General features: G+C 55.8%; 1 protein-coding gene and 1 long non-coding RNA gene across 11 annotated transcripts in view, besides 6 other annotated features; one reads left to right on the top strand and one right to left on the bottom strand.

The window, feature by feature from the left end:
- The window catches only part of TNS1 (tensin 1), a 234,192-nt gene that overhangs the window by 16,114 nt on the left and 195,706 nt on the right, over positions 1–22,372 (top strand). For 5 of the 10 annotated variants that reach the window (NM_001438866.1, NM_001387777.1, XM_047445642.1 and 2 more), the window contains exon 1: positions 14,874–15,029. The exons of 1 other annotated variant lie outside the window; for it this stretch is intronic. In NM_001438866.1, coding sequence (NP_001425795.1) covers positions 14,997–15,029 — 33 coding nt within the window. In that variant the 5' untranslated portion in view covers positions 14,874–14,996. Of the gene's footprint in view, positions 1–7,593; positions 7,770–14,873; positions 15,030–22,372 lie in introns of those variants that run through there. 4 more of the 10 variants (NM_001438865.1, XM_047445639.1, XM_047445638.1 and 1 more) reach the window with 1 other exon arrangement.
- Positions 7,365–7,614: a silencer, noted in NCBI's record as "silent region_12309". NCBI's record gives its function as "represses an Ori minimal core promoter by ATAC-STARR-seq in GM12878 lymphoblastoid cells {active_cell/tissue: GM12878}" and the evidence as "EXISTENCE:reporter gene assay evidence [ECO:0000049][PMID:35858748]".
- LOC124907982 (uncharacterized) lies at positions 8,984–10,867 on the bottom strand. The gene is made up of 2 exons (XR_007088088.1): positions 10,757–10,867; positions 8,984–9,383 (listed from the first exon to the last, which is right to left on the bottom strand). It is a non-coding gene; the product is annotated as an uncharacterized LOC124907982 (long non-coding RNA).
- Positions 13,589–13,688: an enhancer, noted in NCBI's record as "active region_17112". NCBI's record gives its function as "activates an Ori minimal core promoter by ATAC-STARR-seq in GM12878 lymphoblastoid cells {active_cell/tissue: GM12878}" and the evidence as "EXISTENCE:reporter gene assay evidence [ECO:0000049][PMID:35858748]".
- Positions 15,429–15,929: an enhancer, noted in NCBI's record as "H3K4me1 hESC enhancer chr2:218866663-218867163 (GRCh37/hg19 assembly coordinates)". NCBI's record gives its function as "activates a minimal SCP1, AML or CMV promoter by ChIP-STARR-seq in primed H9 embryonic stem cells {active_cell/tissue: H9 hESC(primed)}" and the evidence as "EXISTENCE:reporter gene assay evidence [ECO:0000049][PMID:30033119]".
- Positions 15,930–16,430: an enhancer, noted in NCBI's record as "H3K4me1 hESC enhancer chr2:218866162-218866662 (GRCh37/hg19 assembly coordinates)". NCBI's record gives its function as "activates a minimal SCP1, AML or CMV promoter by ChIP-STARR-seq in primed H9 embryonic stem cells {active_cell/tissue: H9 hESC(primed)}" and the evidence as "EXISTENCE:reporter gene assay evidence [ECO:0000049][PMID:30033119]".
- Positions 20,798–21,575: an enhancer, noted in NCBI's record as "H3K4me1 hESC enhancer chr2:218861017-218861794 (GRCh37/hg19 assembly coordinates)". NCBI's record gives its function as "activates a minimal SCP1, AML or CMV promoter by ChIP-STARR-seq in naive H9 embryonic stem cells {active_cell/tissue: H9 hESC(naive)}" and the evidence as "EXISTENCE:reporter gene assay evidence [ECO:0000049][PMID:30033119]".
- Positions 21,576–22,354: an enhancer, noted in NCBI's record as "H3K4me1 hESC enhancer chr2:218860238-218861016 (GRCh37/hg19 assembly coordinates)". NCBI's record gives its function as "activates a minimal SCP1, AML or CMV promoter by ChIP-STARR-seq in naive H9 embryonic stem cells {active_cell/tissue: H9 hESC(naive)}" and the evidence as "EXISTENCE:reporter gene assay evidence [ECO:0000049][PMID:30033119]".

The following is a 22,372-nucleotide window of genomic DNA, read 5'->3' as shown; positions in this document are numbered from 1 at the left end:
TGGGTGTGGGGTGGGCAGTGTGCAGCTGGCAGAGCCAGGAGGGGTTGTGGTTGAGATATTGTTCAGTAGCTCCCGAGGGTACCTCGATGAATCAGGTCTCCTGCTAGACATGTTCACATTTAATTTAATCCTCACGATTACTCCATGAGGTTAGGAACCTAGTCTCCATTTTACAGAAGAAGAAGCAGGCTCAGCATAGAAAAATAACTCCCCAAGGTCACATGGCCCACACGTGCCAGGGCCAGGAGTTGACCTTGGTCTCTTTGCTGGCTTTGCACCTGGATCCTTCTCTTTGGGAGGTGAGGGTGGGGACAGTGGAGATGAAGCAACTCACATGTTTTCTTCTGCATGCTCTCAACTGCTCTGGGAGGAAAGAAAACCAAACACAGAAGCAGCCAAGTTGCAGATGAGGACACTGAGGCTCCCAGAGGGGCAGTGCCCCAGGCTTATCCATCCACAGGGCTGGCAGGGCCCTGGCAGGGATGGGGCTAGGCTGCCCAAGGGATGTTCCATCAAATACCTCCTCATCTGTGGTCTGCCTGGGGCTGGGCCTGCTCTGCTCTGCCCTAAAGCCACCAGCCAGAGTGAGCATAGAATGTGCCAGAAGCCAAGTTCAAGTGGATCACAGAGGGGTCTGGGATCCTTGGGGTGGGAAAGAGAGGAAGGAATCAAGTTCCATGAGATCCTTGGCCAGGGTGGCTCCTGATCACAGGGGCTGCAGCTGGGGTCTTGAGGGTCTCAGTCCATACTCCCCACTGGGTTTGTCCCTTCCGTGGTCTGAGCCTGGGGAGGCAGGAGTCACTGGGAGCTCCCAGGCATGCTTGCTTCTGGAGCCTCAATGTGAGGCTGTGTCTACCTTGTTTTGTGCCTCAGTTTCCCTGGCTGGCCAGCTGCGTTCTCTCCTCGTTCTTTGATTCCTTTACTCTTCTCCCCTCTCCAGGATGCTGGCCCTTCACTGCCACTCGCTGCTCTTTATGGATGCTCAGGAGCCTCCCACCTTCCTCCCTGTCTCCCTTTCCTTTCATGTTCCTCCTGCCCTGCTGCTTTGCTTGTTTTCTTCTCACCACTCACACTGGCTTGGCGCTTGCTCACATCTCCAGTCTTTGACGCCAGGTCTCAGCCCCAGTGCCTCTCCTATTTTGGATTGTCTTTCTGGGGGGGTCCATTCCCTTCCTCCTGTCCTCATCTGAGTCTTGGGTCCACCTGGGATCTGTCTGTGTGACCTGGGTCCCCCTGGCCATCAGCCCTTATCACAGTTCTCTGGCTATCTGCAGGGCATGGACTGAGGGCCCCGGGCTGAGTGGGGCACTGGAGAGTCCTGGGGTTCTATTTCCCAGACTCCTTCTCACACTGCAGTAACCATTGTCTGGGAGTGGGCCCTGGGGAGGAGCCCAGTGAGATGATCCAAGGGGAGAGAGGTGGGTGGGGTGGCAGCGAGCCAGATGGAGGGGAGCTGCTGGATAGATGGACCTGAAGTGGGCGGGGACCTGATAATCCATCTGTATCTCCCCTGTGTTCCTATCTCTCCCTCCTGGTGTCTCTAGCTCCCTGCCAGTCACTGTCACTGTCGCAGCCTCTCTGCATCATCTTGGATCCCAGGACTGGGAGCTTTAACTCAGCTCCCCTCCCCTTGTGCCTCTCAACCCAACCACCCTCTCTGTCCAGTTCAGGAGCAGACTGGCCAGTGGGCTGGTTTCCCAGGAAGGGGAGGGGGCTGCAGTGGGAGCGGCTGGGGGTGGGGGTGGATGGTAATTGTATTAGCTAGTGCTGATGCCACCGGGCTTCCCAGACTGGGCCCTCCCCTGCCCTCCCCCTTTCCCTGGCCCTCCTTCCTCCTTCTCCTGCACTTTCCATTCATCTCACTCTCTCTCCTAGTTCCATCAGAATCAATTAGACAGTCCCTGCTTTAATCTCATTGTGGGAGCCTGGGCTCAGACCCAGCGCCCAGCTCCTAGGTCTGCAGTCTCCATGCTGGGCCCTGCAAGGAACACACCAGGGCAGAGGGCTAATCAAGACGACCCCAGGCCCCTGTCCCACTCCCCATCCCCAGATGCTCTGGCCTGTGGGATCCCCATGGATCGATACCCACCATCACTCCAGGCCTATCCCACCCTGCCCCCACCCCCCGTTTATCATGTCAGCTGCTGGGTGGTGATGGAAGTCATTTGGAAAGGGGCCCAGAGGACCTGGGATTCTCAGCCCTGAGAATAAAGGGGGGTGGGGGTGGGATGGGGACGGGGGCTTGAATAATGAGCTGCGAGGGTCTGAAGGCATTCATTGTGCAGAAGAGAGTGATCAAGCTGTTCTCCTTCCTCAGGCAAGACAGACTAAGAGGAAATGGTCTGGAATTTGAAAGGGGGGATGGAGGTTAGGTATCAACAGGAACTTCCTGCCTGTCAGAGATCAGAGACCTGGGCTAGTAGTGGTGAAGGGGACAAAGAGAACTTAGGGACTCACCTCCTTGGGATATCTATGAAAGGAGAAACATTTCTTCCCCTCTCTTTCCCCCTCCCCCTCCCTCCTCTCCCTTCTCTCTGCTTTTCTGGCTATAAGGCTGTGCTATGGAAAAGCCGTGACTCAGGAATGAGGGCCTCCTTCCAGTTCTGGCACCGCCACTTTCTAGCTGTGTGACCCCTGGCAGTCACTTTACCCCTCTGGGCCTCAGTGTCCTCATGTAAATCAGGGGCAGGGGCAGGGGCAGGGGTTCAAGTTTAACCGGAATCAGTACTATATTGGGGAGCTGTTTCAGAACAGGGAGATGGGAGCTCTCACCAGGGGGTGTGTGGAGTGGAGGTGCCTAAAGACTTCATGGTCCTGACTACAGTGACAGCAAAACCCTGAAAATGGCAATTCCTACTGGCCCATAATCCAGCTGTGGGAGGGAGCCAGTGGATTTGGAAACAGAAATGGCTTGGCCTTGCCTGCCTGCCTGCCTGCCTGCCTGCCTTCCTTCCTTCCTTCCTTCCTTCCTTCCTTCCTTCCTTCCTTCCTTCCTTCCGTCCTTCCTTCCCTCCTGCAATCCTTTAACTTACTGAATAACTCATGATTATGGGCCACCTGCAGGTACCATGCTAGGTACTAGGGATGTAGGCATGAACACTGACAAGGGCCTCTGGGACTGGCATTCTGGTAGGAAAAGGGGTGAGACAGGGAAGAAGCCAGCAAATGTATCAACAAGAAACAGTTCTAAGTGCTAGGAAGAAATGAACGTATTGATGTCACATAGATTTGAGGCTCAAAGCAATCGAAGGACTTTAATGGGGTGATCAGAGGAGGCCCAGGAGTCATTGACACAGAGTCCATATTAGATAGACTCCTGCAGAGTCCAGCTCCGCAAGAACCCATATTCTGTTGTATGGAGAGAGGCTGGGTGTGAGTTCCGTGCCTTGTATATGGTTGGGCAGTTCACCCATGCGTGCAGCTGGTGAAATCCATCCCTGGTGTGGGTGCTGAGGGGCCTGGGAACCTGCTTGGAAGTTGGTACCCGAGGGACAGCCCCTTGGGAATCATGGGAGGACTCTCTGTGACTGGGAGAGTGGTGAAACTCTATCTCTCCAGCGGGTGGGGGAGAGGTGGGCCTGCAGTGATGTTCCCATCTAATGGTGGAGAAAGGCTGGGGGGTCCCCGGGGAGTGGTCTCTGTGCATCTGTCTGTGGGTGTGAAAGCAAGAGCTGGAGTCTCCGATCAGATGCCCAAGTGATTCTCCCTAACAGGAGCTGCCTTTGTGCCCCTGCAGACAAAACCAGCCAGGGAAACTGTGGGCCTGAGGGCCTGTGACAGAGGGGGCTCTGTGCCTGCCCTGAGCCAGGTGGGCCCTCCTCCCATGACCTGCTCTCTTGTTTCCCCAACACCTGTGCTGGCTGCCTCTGGGAAGTTTCCCATTCTTTTCTTGCTTCTCTGGGGGAATAAGGGGCCCTCCTAACCCAGATCCAGGGCAAACTTGGGGAGAAGGGCCCAGAGAAGACACTGTCTGCAAACATGGACTCCATCCCACCTGGCCATAGACTCTGGAGCCTCCTCCCTGGCCTGCACTCAGAATCCAGATCTCTGCTTGCATGGATATGGTGGGGTGTGGAGAAGTCATTCCTCCTCCTCCAACTCCTGGCCAGACCCCCAGTATAGCCCCCCTTGCCAGTCTGGACTCTGTGGCTGAGGAGAGGTGCGGGAGGGAGGATAAGCAGGGGTGCTAAGGCTTGGAGGCAGGTCCAGGGTTTGTGGGAGCCTGGAGAGGGCCATGTCACATGAGCAGGGGGACAAGCAGTCCCCAGAGGATAGGTTAACCTGGGAGGATGGTGACCAGCTCTTCAAAAGTAGCACTGGGGAGGGAGATGCGAGGAGCTGGGGGCCACTGTTGGACCTCCACATGGGGGCTGCAGAGAGATCTCTTCATGTGATCTGGCATGAGGCCCCCAGGGCAGCCCAGAACCTGCCCAGGCTTCCCTGATCCCTCCCTAGGGGGGATGTTTTGGCCTCTAATACATGGTTCCCTGTGTCTGAGTGTCTGTGTCTGGTCCACTGTGGGGAGCTTTGCATCTCTGCTCAGGGACCTGGAGGGAAGACGGACTGAGCACCTACCAGGTGCTGAATGCAATTTCTTTCTTTTTTTTTTTTTTGAGATAGAGTCTCGCTCTGTCACCCAGGCTGGAGTGCAGTGGCGCAATCTCGGCTCACTGCAACCTCCGCCTCCTGGGTTCAAGCGATTCTCCTGCCTCAGTCTCCCAGGTAGCTGGGATTACAGGTACCTGCCACCACGCACCGCTAATTTTTTTTTTTTTGTATTTTTACTAGTGATGGGGTTTCACCACGTTGGCCAGGCTGGTTTCGAACTCCTGACCTCAAGTGATCTGCCTGCCTCAGCCTCCCAAAGTGCCAGGGTTACAGGTGTGAGCCACCGTGCATGGCCTGATGCAGTTTCTGATGCTTTGAGTGTTTTGAGGGAGAAAAGGGATCAAGACTGAGAGAAGATCATTTGGGATTAGAACCCCCCACCCAACTCTCCCACTCCCATATGTGAATTTTGGTGAAAGAAGAAGCAAAGGGGGTCCTGGCTAGAATCTTTCAGGAGGTTCTGGAGTGGCTTCAGGAGGGTCTGGGGACCCTGCAGCTGTTATCCTTGGGATTCTGACCTCCCTTGGTGACGAAAACAGAACAGAGTACTTGTGGCAGTATGGCATTGACCTTCAGGTATTGAGGCACCTGGCATGAAGCTATATGGGGTATGGGGGGTGGGGGGCCAGAAGTTGGAAGTGGGAAGCTGGGATACCCTCCAGGCAGTGGCAGGCCTGGCTTCAGGTCCCTGTGAGCCTTGGACTCTCTCCTCTCTCTTTGGAGTGTCCTTGGCTTGAGGCACCTCATGCTGGGCAGTGGCTGGAAATGGACTCTGCCCTGCTGAGCTCAGTTCATCATTGGCTTCAGGCGGGGAAGCCTTGGATGCCATCATTACTTCCTTCCCTTTCTACCAGCTCACTCTTCTTTCCTTCTGTTTGTTGAGTGTCTCTCATGCCCAAGTGCTGAGAAGGTTTTGGTAATTTTCTTAAAAGTCATGTTGTCCTCCTCTCTTAATCTAGGCAGGGCCACACTTTAGCCAATATTGTCTGAATAACTTCCTCCTATTTTAGAAATTCCACAAGTGATTCCTTTGGATGAAACTTCATTCTACTTGCGATGCATTAAACCCCATTTCCTTCTGTCTCATGTCTTATCTATTTCCCTTTATCTATTTCCTCTGACAAGGAGTAGGGAAGCTATAGAGATTGAAGGCCCCTAGAAGAGGAGGAAGGCCCCCTCTGCAGACTTGGAACAGGACTCAGCAGTGCTGGGGCTTCCCTTGAGATTGTGGGCATGAACAAAGGCCCGGCCTGTTGGAGATGGGCTCACTTTAGTGTGGGGATCACACTACCTCTCCTCCTACCTCCCTGATGCCCCCTCCAGCTTTTATCCAGAGCATGTGTGGTGGTTGTTGAGTGATCCCCCTTGCTGGAGGGCTTGTTAGAGGATGAGGGCCCCTAATGTCTCTCTTTCCCCCGTCTCTATCCACTCGCCAGTAGGAACCTCTTCTTCCTTCTCCCTCCCTGGGGTCCTGCTAGTCTCCTCCAAATGCTGGACCCCACTGCCTTGTCTCGAGGTGGGGAGCTGCAATGGGGACGGGCAGGGCCTGAGGAATCTGTCGCGGGGGGCAGGCGGAGGAGAGCTTGGGGGCAGGGGTGAGCTAGCTGAGAAACTTTCAGGGCCTCCGCCCACACAGTGGGAAAGGGACCCTGGCTGGTGCAGGAGAGGAAGGGGACAGGGAGGCAGCATCATCTGGAAAAATGGCCCTGAGATGGTGCTAGGGCAGCCCAGCCCCAGGGGGATGGGGGAGGGGTCTGGCTGGGCTCCAGTGGCGCTTGCTGCGGAAGAGGCCCCCTGGCAGCTCCTCCGCCCCTCTTCTCTCCCGGCTTGGCTGGCTGCCTGCCCTCCCACTTTCTCTGCAGCCACAGAACCCCGGGCAATGCTCATGGGTGCCCCTCCAGCTCTCCGCACTCTCTGCCTGCCTCTCTCTGCCTTTGTCTACCTGTCTCTGTGTCTCTCCCCATCTCTCTCTAGAGTCCAGGACCTCCGCCTCCCCTCTTTTTCCTTCCCTCTCCCTAGTTCTAGGGTCCTAATAGGATGACCTCACACAATATTCCTGAGAGGGCCCCATCCTCTGTTCAGCTGAGCACAGCAGAGGTAGGCAAGGGCACGCAGAAGGGAGAAGATGTGAAGTGGAGGCCCTGAACCCAGAGCAGGCGGCTGCAGCTCCAGCCCTAGAGTGCTGGTCCAGCTCTCCTCTCTCCCAGGCAGGGTCCCTTCCAACCTGTGGGGGCTCTTTGGATGTGCTGAACGTCTGAGCGCCCTCACACTGAGTGGGATAGAGAGAGATCCTGGCTGAGGAGTCGGAGTGTGTGGCCAGGGTCAGAGGTTGGAGGTGGGACTGGACAGCTGGTCCAGATTGTGCACAGAGTCCCCACGTGCACGCCTGGAACAGGGATGTGTCTACTTGGGTCATGGAAGCCGGAGGCCTCCGTTTAAGTTAATTACATTATGCCCTGGGGAGCAATATGGGAATTGGAGTGGGCTCTGGAGGGAATCCGCATTCACTCACACACGCAGGCTCACACCCTCACTGCAGCCAGGAGCACAATGCTGCCGCCGCCGCCGCCCCGGCTCCCGCGGCTGCTGCTCCTTCCTCGCAGGTGGACGCCGGACGCCCGGCGCCGGGCGCCGCCTCTGCCGGCTCCCCTCCCGCCTCCCCCGCGCGGCTCCCCGAACCTCAGAAGTTGCCGGGGTGCCGGCATCCGCCCCGCAGCGCGCCCGGGAAGCAGGAGGCGGAGGCTGTCACGCAGCCAGGGGAGGAGAAAGCCGCGGAGGAAGAGTCCCTGAGGGTGTAAGCCCCCTGCTGCCCGCGCCCCGTGGGGGTTCCCCGGAGATGGAGCCCAGTCCGGGCCGCGCCGCGGGCCTCCCGCGCCGCTCCTCCCGCTAGAGGGGGCAGCAGGACACGGGCTGCTCCTCCGGGGCTGAGCCTCCGGGAGACCCGGGACAGGGTAGGGCAGGGCGCCCGCCTTCCTACCCCGCCCCAACCCCGGAACTCTGCGCCAGGAGCGGCGGGTCCACCTCTTCCGACCCTCGCGCCCCAGGCGCCCACTCTCGGGGTCAGCATGACTCGGCTGAGTTGGTGCTTCTCCTGCGTGATCCGATGGGGCAAGTACCTCTTCTCGTGCCTCCTGCCCCTGCGCTTCTGCCTCCGCAGCCAGGTAAATGCTCTCGGCCACACCTGGCCCCTTCCGACCCCCCCCCGCCCCCTCCCTCCCAGACGCTTCCCTCCCGCAGTCTCCTGGGCATTCGATCTGACTTACTACCCTCCACTCTCAGGGACCCTCCGTCTCGGCCATCGTCAGCCTGGTTCTCAGCAGAGTTTGGGACTCCGGGGGAGTCGCCACCCAGGTTGCTGGGATCCGGGAAGGGGAGTTGCTGCCCCTCCCCCAGCGCACACCCCTGGGTGTCTTGGGCTTGGATCAGAAGTCTGAAGGATAGCCCCGGAGTCTGTGGGAGGGCGGCGGATTTGGGGATACGGAGTAAAGTTCCTGGGGTTTTAAGCATCCCTCTCAAATTTCCGTGGGAAGGGAAGGTGGGTTCCTGGAAATGCCCCCTGTCCCCCGATCCCCAGAAGCCACCGAGTTAAGGCAGCGAGGTAAGGAAGTGAAATGAACACGGGAATGGGGTGGCTGGGGGACGGCAGGAGGGATTTCCCACTTATTCAGGATGGAGGGACCAGGGAACTGGACAGGGAGAGGATGGGGGCTGGGGCGCCAGGGAGGGAGCAGCAGCTGGGCTGGGGGCGGGAGCAGGGGTCTGGGGAACCTGCAGTGCTGTGGGTGGGCGTGTCCTGGTTGAGCATCGGTCTCCCTGGGATTCTCAGAGAGGATGCTTGATGTTGCCTTCAGCGTGTGTGTAACGTGTGTATGTGTGTGGGTGGGGGGAGTATAGACGTGAGGGTGGAGGTGGAGGTGGGGGCATAGCTACAAAGTAGGGAATTGGAAAAACTGTGTGTAACTTTAAATTCTCCCTGGAGGGCAAGGAGAACCCCAAGATCATGACCTAGAGCCCCCAGGACCCCAGGAGCCTCTAATGAGGGGAAGGATCCCAGGGACTGGAAGTCCTGGCTTTCCGACCCACTCTCTTGGGGCAGGGACGGTCCCCTGTCACACGGGAGGGGGAAGTCCACCATTCTGGTTAAGAGTCCCAGCTATGGAGCCAGCCACTTGGGTTTGAATTCTGGCTTTACCAGCTGTAGACCTTAGGCTAGTTACAGGATCTGCCTGTATCTTGGTTTTCTCATCTGTAAAATGGGGATAATGAAAATATCTACATCGTTTGGAGTGTTGTGAGGATTAAATGAGGTAATGCATTTAAAGTGTTTAACTGTGCCTACTCCATAACAGGTGTTTGATTAAAAAAAAAACAGGGATATTATCATTGTTATTGTCTGCTTCCAGCAGGGATCTTGCAGACCATTAGGCAGGCCAGAGTTGGAGTATGTAGGGATGGAGAGATTTCTCCCAGTATCCATGCTTGCCATCCAAATGGATGGGAAGGATTCTTCTGCTCCATTAGGAGCTTGGACTTTTAGCTCCTTCTCCCAGGTGCTACCTCTGAGCTTCAGTTTCCCTCTCTGCTGTTCCGCAGTGGGGAAAGGTGCCAGCAGGCTTCTGTTCCAGTTACCCAAGGTATGCTTTGAAATCTTCCAGCAAAATGCATTGTCCTCAGGGATTGGCTGAGAGGCAGGCCCTGCAGCTGCAGATCACAGGGCTGGAGCCCTGTCCACATTCCACTGGGTTCTGGGTTCAGATGCCATGGAGTCTGGATTTCTAGATTTGAGAAAAGGAGCCTGAAGTGGGAAATGGCCGGCCAGGACCAGGTCAGTTGGACCCCAGACTGCTTAGCAACACCCCCTCCCCATTTGCGGAGGTAGAGGATGACGGAACCACTTCACTCCACTCTCCTTTTCCTTCTGGGCCAGGATTTGAGCTGGCGACTGGGGGTCGGGGGTGGATGAGCAGCTGCAGCTGCCTCCCTCCAGCCTTTGCGGGGCCTGAGTCAGGCAGGAAATTAGAGCTGGGGAAGAGATCAAGATTGTGGAGTAGAGCTCTGGGAAGGATCTTATTAAGCATTGTTGGGATTGGGCCCAGACACGTCTCCGCCCAGGGTGATGGGGAAGGGGCGGTAGGGGAAGGGGTGTGAGTGAGGCTCCTTCTCGTGTCAGCTGGGGATACTGAGGCTCACACAGGGCCTGGTTGGAGCTCTGTCTTCTCTCTCAGAGAGCACCCACATTTCTGCAGTGCAAGAGAGTGACCTCAATCTGGTACTAGAGGAGTGCTGGATGTGGAGGCTGAGGGCAGGGCCTCCCCCAGACCATGTCGTGCCTTGGTGGGCATTAGAATGTAGTGCCCCATGCTCTGGGCTGATGCATCTCATGCCAGGGCTTGGTGGGTAGGGCATGGATGGGACTTGAGCTCCCACTCATGCACCCTCTGCTAGAGGTCTGGGCACCCGGGACTCAGAGGCTGAGGTGTATGAGGGTGAGGGGTAGGGTGAGGCAACATGGCTTACCTAAGGGAGGTCCTAGGGGCATCAGGGGACAGACCCTGACTGCACCCAGATCTCTCCTCGCTGACTCTTCTGGAGCCACTAGGGAGCCAGTTGGTCTCATCCTGACCCATGTAGTAGCACTATCCTTGGCTCCCCACTCTCTCCTGCCAAGCAAGACCTGGCTGAACCCCCCCCCCCACCCCCCGAGCCTCAGGGTCAGCCCTTAGGCGAGTGGAGAGAACAGTTAACATGTCACCACAACATGGAAGCATAGCCCCTAGTCCTGGGGTGGCCGTATTGCTGTAAGAACATTCTCCATCCATGGGAGATGTGGAATCAGATGACCTGAGCTCCATTTTCACACATCATACTAGCTGTGTGACCCTGAGCTGGTTGCTGAACCTCTATGTGCCTCAGTTTCTGCATTTACAAAATGAGGGTTAGTAGGAGCCTTCAAGACAATGCAGCAAGCCAAGTGCCTAGTTAATTGGTATTAATCTTTCCTGGGGAAGGGGGAGAATACCAGAATCTGAGGGGCTGAGAGGGTGGAGGTCCAGGAGCTGAGTGCTTTGGTGTAGATTCCTGGGTCTCGTGCTGTTGGGATCTTTACCTGGACACTGGTGAAGAACCCCATTGCCAGGTCTGCCCTTACCTGTTGGATGTGGGCCCCTCAGGATGGTCTGGGAGGAAGGCTGCAGTGTGAGTGGCCCCATTGTGAGAGGTGGCAGGCTGCAGGGTTTAGGGAAAAAATCCAGGGTCTGGGAACTGAGAGACTGGATCTCTGCTTTTTATGGGCTCTGTGACCTCTGATGAGTCACGCCACCTTTCTTGACGCAGTGTGGCTGTCTGTTAAGCAAGGGGGCTGGATTAGGCTAGCGGTGCCCTGAGACTAACCCTCCTGGCAAACACATTCGCTTGGACCTTCAGAGTGGTTTTTTTTTAAGCCAACACTTTCAAATTTGTATTTTTTCAATTTTGTAAAAATATTTTATATAAAATATGGAGTTGAGGGTTCTATGGCAGATCAAAACATGTGGAGATGTGGGCTTGTGTTGCTGCATGCTGTAGTGGGGAACCAAGGAGTGGGCATCCCCCTCAGCTGGGGCCTGTCCTCACCAGGCCCTTGTGACCCCTTGCCCGCTCCCCTCATTGAACTTCTAGGTGACCCCCAAAGGCTGTTACCGTGACCCCTGGGCAGCTGAGCTTGAAGACCTTTCCAGCTTTAAAATGCTCTGTTACCTTCAGATGCTGTGACCAGTGGTGACAAAGGAAAGGCTTAACGCCCTGGTAGGAGAGGGGTGGACATCAGTAAGAATATTTTGGTGGACAAGAGTCAAAGGAAAGGAAGAGTGAATTGGATGGGGCTGGGGCCTTGGCCTGGGAAACTCGTGTCATCGCAGAAGGTGGAGCTGGAAGGGACCTTGGAGGCCATCAGTCCTGTTATTCTACAGGTAAAGGAAACTGAGGCCCAGGGAGGGGCCTGCCAGGCTCAGGCTCTAAGGCCATTAGCTCATTCCTGACCACACTCACCCTTCCTTCTGCCTTGGCTCCACCCTCCTCCAGCCCCAGGGCCAGCACCACAGCCCACAGACCTGACTCTGTTTCTTCAGCTGGCTGCTGAGCAGGGGGCTGGAGGGATGAGCGGAGGGAGGTCTCCGCATGCAGCGGGAAGGCAGAAATGGGGATGGCACAGGGTTGGGGCTGGGTTCTGAGGCTTCTGGGATGCCAGTGTAGAGCCCCAGCCAGTCCTCCAGTGTGTACTCCATGTCTGCTGTGTGTGAGACAGGGGTCTGGGCACAGGGTGGGGATCCCAAGATGAATGAAACCATCCAGGCCTGCGGAGAGTCTGCAGCTGGCTAGAGCTTGGGAATGGGGCATTGGCAGCAGGCAGAGGTGGCTGCAGATAGGGTGGCACTGAAATTGTGGGCAAAAGTGTACAGGCAGGGCTGCCTGAGGCCCTTTTGAAGGGAAAAGAAGGAAGGTTTGGGAAGGAGGCAGTGAATGCTTACAGTAGGAAAATATGTTAGGATCCATTGACTAATTGATTGAGTGATTGAGTCATTCTTCAACCATGTCTGGTGCCTGCTGTATGCCAGGCTCTGGGGATACAAAACACAGGACACGTCCTTGCCCGTGTGTGGGTTGGGGTGGAGACACCAGGCTGTGAAGGAGGAATAAAGGCTGACAAGCCTGGAACAGGGTCATTACACACAGTTAGAGACACCTCAGTCGGCAGAGTTTAACATTCAACAGGGAAAATGGTGGTTAATTAGCAGGAAGGACATCTTGATGATAAGCGATTAATATACAGGAGAGACCCCATAGGCTTGGAGAAGAGGGATGGGGGTATTCTGGAGGGAGGGTTTCTCCAAGGGAACCCCCAGCACTAGGGTCCCCTACTTCCATTCACAGTCCTAGCTGAGGAGTCTGGGGAAGCAGCAGGGCCTCCTCGGGCTGTGTAGGAGGCCAGACAAGTTGGTGTCACTGTGACTTGGTTTTTGGTTTGATTTTCCAGCATTTCTGGGAAGCCCCAAGGTGACTTCTCAGAACTCCAGAGAAAGCTGCCTGGAGGCGTCTTCAGTGACGCCAGCAGTGAAGGGCTGTGGGAGCAGGCAGCGGGGAGCTTGGTGTGAGTGGGCACTGGGATGTCAGGGCTTAGCTGGCTGAAGGCTTGAACTTGTCAGGGGACAAGGGCAGCCTGGCAGAGCTGGTGATAGTGGCTGAGGAGGGGCTCAGGGGCTCTCAGAGAGGCCTCCTGAAGACCACTCCCCTTTGCTTGCCTGGTGCTCCAGCCAGGGGAGACGGGAGGGTTTGCAGAGGTTTCTGTCTATGGACATCCCCAGCTGTGACTGCAGGGCCAACTGCATGTGGAACACTGGTTCATTTCAGCGTTGGCTAAAATGTCAGTGAAGCCCCAGGAGGCTTAGAGTAGGGGGTCCAGAGGGACATTGTGATCCTGGCAGGGAAGGACACTAGAGGCAGGATCTTTCCCAGCCCCAGAGCTCTGGAGGACTTGGAGAAGTATGGAGAGAGGACCCTGACTCCTCTACCGGAACAAAGACTCTTCACTCAGGTACCTGCTTTAGGAAGGGCTGGAAATTGACACTTCACTTCAGTGTCCTCCCCTGACTTCTCAGAACCACCAAACAATAGATGGTTAGTCCCTTGTGCTGTGGACAACCTGTGTATCTGAATACTGCAGTCTTTTTTTCAGATGAAGAGTCAGTGTTTCCCCTTCATTCTGGGGTTTCCCAGGTAGATGTCTTGGGTGGTCCCTGGGCTGGGAGTTGGCACAAGTGGCTGGGCAGATCCCTGTGAAAGAGGAGGCTGGTAGTTGCACGGTATGTGGTGCTGACAGACAGCGGCATGGCATGGCCTTGGGTGAGTGGGGGGGGGAGGCAGGGGATCTGTAACCCTTCGTGCATGTGGCCCCAGGGCATGTATAGCACAGTGTGCATAGGAGGCCAGGCAAGAGAACTTTTCTTGCTAAGTGACTCAGTCTAGGAACGAGGTCTCCAAGTGCCTACTCTGGGAGGGCTCTTATGTGTTGACGTGAGTTGGACTGTGTCCTTGTGTGTGTGTGTGTCCACAGGAGGGTGTGGGGCTGAGCCCTCCCTCCTTCTCCTGGACAGCTCCAAAGAACAGAGCGGGTGATTCACTGGCCCCCACCCACCCTCAGTTGGTCCAGCCAAGGCCAGAGCTCAAAGAGGAAGGGTTTTTTTTGGAGGGGAACGTGGTGGTTCCAGACAATGAAGGCCTGGGGCAGACTTTGCTGGATTCCCCCTTAGTGCTCCGTGGGAATACTTTTGGGTTTTGACCCAGCCTCCTTTCCACCCTCTAGACCCCCAACAATTGTCCCTGGGCAGAGGTGGGGGCGAGGGGAGGGGAGGGCTGGTGGGCAGGGGACACTGAGGGGAAGAAATAGGCCTGTGGAATGGTGGGAGGGGAGAACTGGGCCCAGGGAGGGGGAGAGGGGAGGAGGGGGAGGAAGTGGGGAAATGCAAACCAAATGTTGGCCCCGGGTACAGTCAAGAAAAACACACTCTCGCGGGAGCCTGGAGCGGGGCTCCCTTTCAGAAGGGCAGGAAAGGCTGGGACAGATGTTTGCAGGAAAGAAAGAAAGAAGGGGGAAAAAAAAAGAAATAGGAAAAAAATTGGAATGAAACCCACAGCCTGGGGGCAGGGCCATTCTTCCCCAGTCTCGGGCCCTATTTCTTCTGTGTTAAGGCCTGTCCTGGGCTCTGAGCTTGGCGCGTGGGCACCAGAGTCTGTCCCAGTCTGTGTGTGCAAATGCATGTGTGTTCCGAGGAGGCCAGGAAGGCAGGCACGGGTACTCAGAGAAGGGGAGGGGCCAAGGCACCCTGAGTGTGCTGATTGTGTGGGCCTGGGGCTGTCTGTTCATCCATCAGTGGTCTGGAGGGTTCCAGGAGTGAAGGCCCCCAGGCTGGTTTGCCAGGGGCGGGGGTCTGCAGTGAGGAGGGAGGACTCCAGGCCTACCAGCACCAGATCAGAAGACTGAGGAGCCTTGGTGGCACACAGGGGTTGTGTGTCCGGGGGTGGGGGGCACGGCCTGGGGGGGCCCTGCCTCTGGTAGCTTTCCCTTTTCCCTGTCCCCTTTACACCCCCTGCAAAGCAGGGTTCCTGACCCTCAAGGCCACCGGTGGAGCCTGGGAGGAGGGAGGAGAGAGGAGGCTGGGACGAGGGGTGGAGTGGGGGGAGGAGGAGGAGGAGGGAGGGTGAGCTGGAGGCAGCAGGGCGAGAGGCCCAGCAGATGCTGGCGGAGCCGGAGCAGCCGCGGACTCAGAGAGCCCTTCTGCCAGCGCCGCGGGGACTCTAGCTTCAGGGGCTCTTCACAGGCCCTGGGCGTGCCTCAGTGACGGGACCCAGCAAAGATGACGTGGATCTGTCTGTCCTGCATGCTCTGGGTAGGTCTGGCTGCTTTAGCTGCGACGTTACTCTTCCTCAAACCCCCCGCCCCCCACCGGCCCCTGCCACCTTATCCTTTTGCTGAGAGCCCGGGGTCGGGGGGTGTCAGTCTTGAAGGAGGGGCCTTTCTGTCTCTGACCTACAGAAGGACAGACTGACTTGAGCAACCCTCAGCCGGAAGACTTTCCCCACCAACAGGGCCCAGGCCCAGGGTCCCGGGTCAGTACATCCCCTGCCCCACCCCCCCACCCCCCAATGGAGTCCCAGAGCTGTAAGTGGAAGGAGGCCACAGAGAAGTTTGCTTCTCTTTAGAGCCTTTCCTCCCGACTTGCATCCTACAATGGGGTGAAAATTCTTCACCGCCCCCCCTCAGTTGCTGAGCCCAAGATCTTGAGGAGGAGGCAGTGGTGGGGCTGGGGAGCAAAGAATAGTAGTCCAAAATATTAAGTCTGGAAGAGCTGGGCTGTGGGAGAATTCTCAGAGTCCATCCCTTTTATTCCTTCTACACCCAGTTTCAGCTTCCACCCACTGCCATCCCTTCCTCCACAGCCCTCCCCTGCTACCAAGACCTCTCCATCCTGGAGGAGGGAGCCATGGCCCGCTCTTCCCCCTTTCTCTCTTGGCTCCAGGTTCAGGGAGGTGGGTTTCAGGATGGGGATGCCAGGGGGGCCAGCAGAGAGGCCTGGGGGCCACGTGGTGAAGGTTAAAAGTCTTAAGGCCAGACCTGGGCTGAGGCTCCTGGGTAAAGGGGGATGGGAGAGGGCTGCCTGCTGCAGAAGGGCTGGGGGTCAGAGGAGGAGAGGACCCCTTCCTCAGAGGGGCTCCTGTGGGGCTGTCTTGGCCAGGCAAAGGCATGCATGGGGTCAGGAGGGTGAGGAAGTCGTCCCTGGCTGAGGTTACTGTTGGGCTCTGAGAGAGTGATGGCTGGTTTGGGGGAGGGGGCTTCAGGGCTGTGATCCAGATGTGGCCTTTCCTGTCCCTTTCCTTGTTCTGGCCAGTCCTCGGGAGGGCCCTCTTGGCCCAGGCAAGCCCATGCTGGGGGCAGTTGTGGGAACACAAACTCGGGCAGCCAGGTGTCCTCTGGGCAAAGAAAGAAAGGGTGGGGGAGGGGGCCTGGAATGAGGCGGTTTGGGTGGCATGTTGGGCTGGGGTGCTGGGATGGATTGGATTAATAGATTGAGAGTGACTGGGGAGGCCTGCACACAGGATGCATTTGTGGTTTACTGGGCTGGTGTTGACATCTGGGAAATGGGAGCCTTGGCCAGGTTCGTCTCTGTGCTGAGGACAGAGGTAGGCAGGAGGGAGCTCTGCAGCAAGAAGGATGGCAGGTAGACGTCCAGGGGTGACACAAGAAGGATGGCAGGTAGACCTCCAGGGGTGACGAGCTGCTGTGACTGGAGAGAGGGCTCTATAGATCCCTTCAGCTGACTGATACTGGGAAAAGTGCCTCATCCTGGTGAGCCTCTGCTTTCCCGTTGGTGAAATGAGGATTGCAGAGAAACAGGGTACAGAGAGGTAGGGATGAAATTTTGTATCCAATTCCCCAGGGCAGTGCCTGGCAGGTAGAGTGCCCTATGGGTGTTATACCCTCCCTGAGAGTAAGGGGAAGAGTCTGGGGACCAAGGCAGCTGTGAGTGCTGCTTCCTTGAGTGTCTTTATTTTTATTTATTCATTTTTTTTTTAATTGAGATGGAGTCTCACTCTGTCACCCAGGCTGGAGTGCAATGGCATGATCTTGGCTCACTATAACCTCTACCTCCTGGGTCCAAGCAATTCTCCTGCCTCAGCCTCCCGAGTAGCTGGGACTACAAGTGCGTGCCAACATGTCCAGCTAATTTTTTATATTTTTAGTAGAGATGGGGTTTCATCGTGTTGGCCAGGCTGGCCTCGAACTCCTGACCTCAAGTGATCCTCCCGTCTCAGCCTCCCAAAGTGCTGGGATTATAGGTGTGAGCCACTGCGCCTGGCCTTGAGTGTCTTTAAGACTAGAAAAGCCTGTGTCCCTCCCCTGTCTCCTTTTCCTCTCCTCTCCTAGTCCCCATCCTTTCTAGGCTGGCTGTGATGCCCATGGCCAGGATGGGCCAGAGACTGGGGCAGTAGGGACTGGACAGAGGAAGCAGTCCTGGCACCAGATAGGACTAGGCTCAAACCCTATTTCCATCGTTTGGTATGGGCAGGCTTGGTAAAGCAGTTCCCTTCATGAGCCTCAATTTCTTGATCTGTAAAGTGCAGAGAATAATATACTCCTTGTATGGCTAGGGTGGGGAAAGAGACAATAGATATCAAAAGATCAGGTATGTAGGCATGCAGTAGGTGCTCAGCAAATGCTGGCCCCTTTCCCACTCCACAGTCTCCTGCCTGGTTCTTGGGATCCTCTGTATCCCAGACCTGATGCTGGGGGAGGATCTCCCTGGGAATGGTGTCATGGGACAGGGCTCTACTCCTTGGGCTCTACTCCTGGGCTGACTGCCCAGGGACTCTGACCAGCTACTCTGAGGCCAGGAAGTGACTGAGATAGTTCTTGTGCCCTAGAGTGAGTGCTTGCATCTATTGGTTCACATGTTCCTGTATGGGGAAAGCTGCAATTGTGTCATCTAAGAAGTAATATATCTGTAGTGCATAGTTTTAACAAGTCCTAGGAATAAAAATCACTTTATTAGCTGAGGAGCAGAGCTATTTATTATGCATAACTTGATTTTCTCATCAAGTGCTCCCATTTGCTATTACATATTCAAGTACGGTTTATTTAGAAAATAATTGCATGCCTAGCAATTGAGGCTTTTTGATGTTGTGCTGGAGGAGTTAGAGGTGGAGGCCCTTCCTTCCAGAGGGACTCACTGGTCCTCAGGAACTGGGAAGGGGCTCAGGGTGAGGCTGAAAGAGCCACCAGGCAGGGGCTGGGGGTCAAGTGCAGCTTTGGCTCTGCCCTGAGCCAGCTAAGTGGTCTCAAGCTGGTCACTCGACTTTTCTGGACCTCACTGAAATGTGGGCTCTATTCTCTAAGGCCACATCCAGCTGCAGACGATGATGTATTTTGTTTCCTGGAGTTGGTGTCCTGCCCAGTGCTAAGCACACATTTTTGACAGAAGGGTCCTCATGAGCTCTGGATTCCTTGTGCACAATTCCGGTCATGCAGACATCAATCTGACTCTTTGGTCCTGAACTCGTTCTCTCTAGTTTGGTTGACCTGTAAGGGCCTCCTGACTGTGGGTTTGGGAGGTAGGCTGGGCTGCATGAGAATCACCAGGGTCTGAAATAAGACTCTCCTTTTGCAAAGTTTTGCAAAGTAATGTGTGAGGCACAAAATTGGGAAGAGCACTGCCCTTTTATTCTGCAGTGTTGAAAGGAAGTGTAGCATGCTGGCCGAGAGTGCAATGCCTGGGCTGGATCCCGGGCCTGTCACTTGACAGCTGTGTGACCATAGGCAAGTAGTTTCACATCTCTGTGCTTTGGTTTCCCCACCTACCTATAGGGTTGTTCGGTTTTGAATGAGCTAATCCACACATACATTTAGAAAAGTGTCTCTCACATGTAAGAGCTCAAGAAATGTTAGTGCTTCTTGTAGGATGGCACATTTTCAAGGCTACCCAGCAAGTCAGAGTCAAGACTCCAACCCCATCTGCTGCATCCTCTGCCAGGCTTCTCCATTCTGGGAATGCTTTGGGGCAGGACATGTGGGGTCCGTGGGAATCAAGCCCTGAGAATGACGCATGAGCCCTAAGTCAGCGAAGAGGACTGTGGCGGGCAGCCCAGGGTCAGGGCATGGTGTTGGGGAGGTCGTGTGATGGAAGAAGCATCCCATCATTTGGCTTTCTAACCACACCCCCCACGCAGCTTTCCATCCTTTTCACGGATTATTATGGAGGGCCTGCTCTCTTCAAGCTGCTTGCACATACTGGCACATGATTGCAAGCAGGATGGGTGTTACCAAGAGGGAACCTCTGGGGGATGTAAGGGGGACCTAACCTGGACTGTAGGGAGAAGGTGTCAGGAAAGACTCCTCGGGAGGTGAATTTTAAACTAGATCTAAAGATGAATCTGGCCAGGCACAGTGGTCACACCTGTGATCCCAGCACTTTGGGAGGCCAAGGAGGGAGGATTTCCTGAGCCTAGAAGTTCAAGACTGGCCCGAGCAACATAGTAAGACCATGTCTGTACGAAAAATAAATAAGTTATCTGGGCATGGTGGTATGCGCTGGTAGTCCCAGCTACTTGGAGGCTGAGGTGGAAGGATCACTTGAGCCCTGGAGGTCAAGGCTATAGCGAGCTATGATTACACCACTGCACTCCAGCCCAGGCGACAGAGCAAGGCCCAGGGCCATGGAGGAAAGGCCCTGGGAAAGTTCCTCACTCCAGCGCAGGGCGTCATTGTGAGGATTAAACGAGGAAATCCAGTCCAATCCCTCACTAGAGTGCCTGGCCCCACTGATGGGGCCTCAGACTAGCCCCATCTCTGAGCAGTTCCACGACAGGACATGATTTCGTTTCAGTGCAGAAAATGGGCTTGATATTCAGAAATGTGGGCAGCCTGCATTAGGAAGGAGGAGAGAGAGAGAGAGAGAGATGCTGATGGAGAGAACTCATCTCGCTCAGGAGAGAGAGAGAGAGAGAGAGAGACACTGATGGAGAGAACTCATCTATCTCACTCAGGAAACTGAGTCAGGAGCTAAAGGCTCTTGGGCAGTGGCCTGGGAAGTGCTGGGGAAATGTCACTGTCTGCCCTCCTTCCTTCCTTGGTGATTCCTGGTGCTTGGAGACCAAGAGCATCTCCTCAGCCAGAAGATGACAGTACCTGGTCACCTGGTGTCTTGGCTTGTAACAAGTGTAGCCCCACGTTCTCTTTCTTCTGAGGGCTGGTTCATGGGAATGGGGTATAATTTCACTACAGAAAACAGAGGCCAGGCAGTAGCTTCACCCATGTGATTCTTCAGACTTGTGCTAGACTCAGAGGACACAGAGCAGATGTGTGTCTGACACGTCTACCTGGCAGGTAATCTGACACACACAGAAAAGACAACACGAATCGCTCACCGCTGCTGAGCGCTCACCATGCGCCAGGCCCCATTCCACCGACTTTACGGCATAATCTCATTTCATCCTCACAACAGCCTATGGGAGGTGACTGTCATTGGTCCATTGAACAGATTAGTAGAGTGAGGCAGAGCAAGTTAAGCACTTTGCCCAGGTAACAAGTGCAGGGGCCGTTAGACTGCAGCAAGTACTGCTGTAGGCTCAAAGAAAGAGCGACTGGGAAAAGCAGGGGACACTAAGGTAATCATATTCCTCCCCAGAATTTTAGCCTGCACTGACGCATGAGGAAGTGATCAAAATCCAAATCGAGGGGCATTCTGCAAAACATCTGTCCTGTAACCTTTAGAAACATCAGTGTCAGAAAGAAAAATGAGAGGTGGATAACGTGTCTAGTTTAAAGGATGAGAGACCCAGCCACTAAAGGCAGTTCAGGATCCTGATTGTGTCCTGAATCCAAAATGAAAACGAAAACAATGCCCCGGCTCTCATGGACATTCTTGGGGCAGTAGAATGACTGTATTAGACAGTGGGATTGTATTGATGCTGAATTTCTGAGTGTGATCATAGGAGAAGGGAACATGCGTGTTCATCTTTTCCGAAGCTTTTGCACTTTTCAAACTAAAATGAGGAGACAGCGGGTAGGGATATGGATTCTGACAGGGGTCCAGGGGTATCTGGGAAGACCCCTGCTGAGGGGATGAGGTTTGAATCAGGCCCTTGAATGTGCCTAGAAGCTGGACAAGCAAAGAGGGGAGGAAGGGCATTCTGGGCAGAGTCTTAGAGGTGCAGTGGGGTGGCGGGTGGCTGGAGAGCGTGGAGCAGCCTGGGTGGACACAGGGCAGGGAGCCGGGAAGTGGATCTTGGGGATTGGGACTGGCAGGGTGGGCTGGGTAGGGACCAATACTTCTTCTCCTGCTGGCTCCAGGGAGGGCAGGGTTTATTCTGGACATCTGGGAAGACATGGCAGCATTTGGGGTGAGTGGAGGTGCCAGACCTTACAGAGCTGTAGTTGTGATCCTGGGAGGCTGTGTAGGGGCGATGGGTGGGAGCGGCCTGGTGTCGGGGCCCAGGAGGCTGCTGCAAGAGCCCTGGGGAGAAGTGCCAAGGCCTGATATAGGGCAGAGGCAGTAGGATTAGAAAGCATAGGACGATGAATGTTTAGGAGGCAAAATTCACAGGATTTGGCAACTGGTTAGTTGGGGGTGGGGGAGGTGCAGGGAGGAGTTGAGAGTGACTCAGAGCTTTCCACCCAGGGCGACCAACAACATGGTCAGGCCAAGAACATGGCTAGGGCATGGGGGTGGGGGATTTGTGTGTGTAAAGGTGAAGTGGGGTTGGAGGAAGCTGGGATTTGAGGTGCCCATGGGACTCCCAGAAGCCAGCCGGCAGCCCCACTGGGGATCTGAGCCTTCCCCACATAAACGACGCTGGATGCCCACCAGGCCTCCCAGCCTAAGGGTGAGGGGGCATGGGGCAGTGGATGGCCAGGAGGCTGAGTGAGTGCGACAGGAGTTGACCTCCCAGGTCTGTCCTAGGCCTGTGTGTGGAGATCCCCTTCTCTGGCTTGCAGACTCTGGCCCTCTCCCCACATCATCCAGGGCTTTTTGGCCACAGGAAGGCTTGTGGGAGGCAGCGCTGAGGGAGTTTTGTAGGAGGAGCTCAGGAGCTGGGGACCCCGGGGTCTATCACCCCCTTTCATCACCACCCAACCCTCACTGCTGCTCTGCCCCCACGGGGCAGGGAGGAACCAACAAACAGACTTTCCCACCCCAGGGCCAAGGACTCTCGCCAAGGCTGTCCAAGCCAGATGTGCCACACCCCTCTGGCTGAGCGGCCCGGGCAGGAAAGCTGGGCTGCATGGAAGGAGGGAAGGGAGAGGAAGCCCCGAGGGCCACGAAAGCCCTCTGATGCTGGGTGGGCTGGTGGCAGGGTGGGGGCTAGAGCTCTGGGCTTGGAGGGAGGAGAAGAAGGACTTATAGGCTGGAGCCCTTCCCCTTTCCTGGGCCCTGGCTCTTGAGAGAGGTGGGGGTTGAGGGGTGTGGGTGTGGAGAGACCAGGCAGCTCCCAGCTGTGGCTGTGTCTCCTTTTGCCCCTGAGTTTTCCCTAAGTAGGTTCCTTTGCAGCCAGCAAAGGAAGGGCCCCGGGGTGTGCTCCGTGAGGCCGTCTGCCACTTGTCAGGAAAAGTGACGATCATTGCCCTAACAAGCCACTACCCTTGAAAAGCACTTTGCACTTTTTGGGGCTTGTTTACATCCTCTGCCTGTACCTGCAGAACAACCCGGGGGGAGGGCTGGGTAGGTACCAGGCACCC

The sequence above is a fragment of the Homo sapiens genome, chromosome 2 (assembly GCF_000001405.40).
Source record: "Homo sapiens chromosome 2, GRCh38.p14 Primary Assembly".
NCBI lineage: Eukaryota > Metazoa > Chordata > Mammalia > Primates > Hominidae > Homo > Homo sapiens.
Note: the sequence above shows the minus strand (reverse complement) of the source record. Positions and strands in the feature narration are given on the sequence as shown.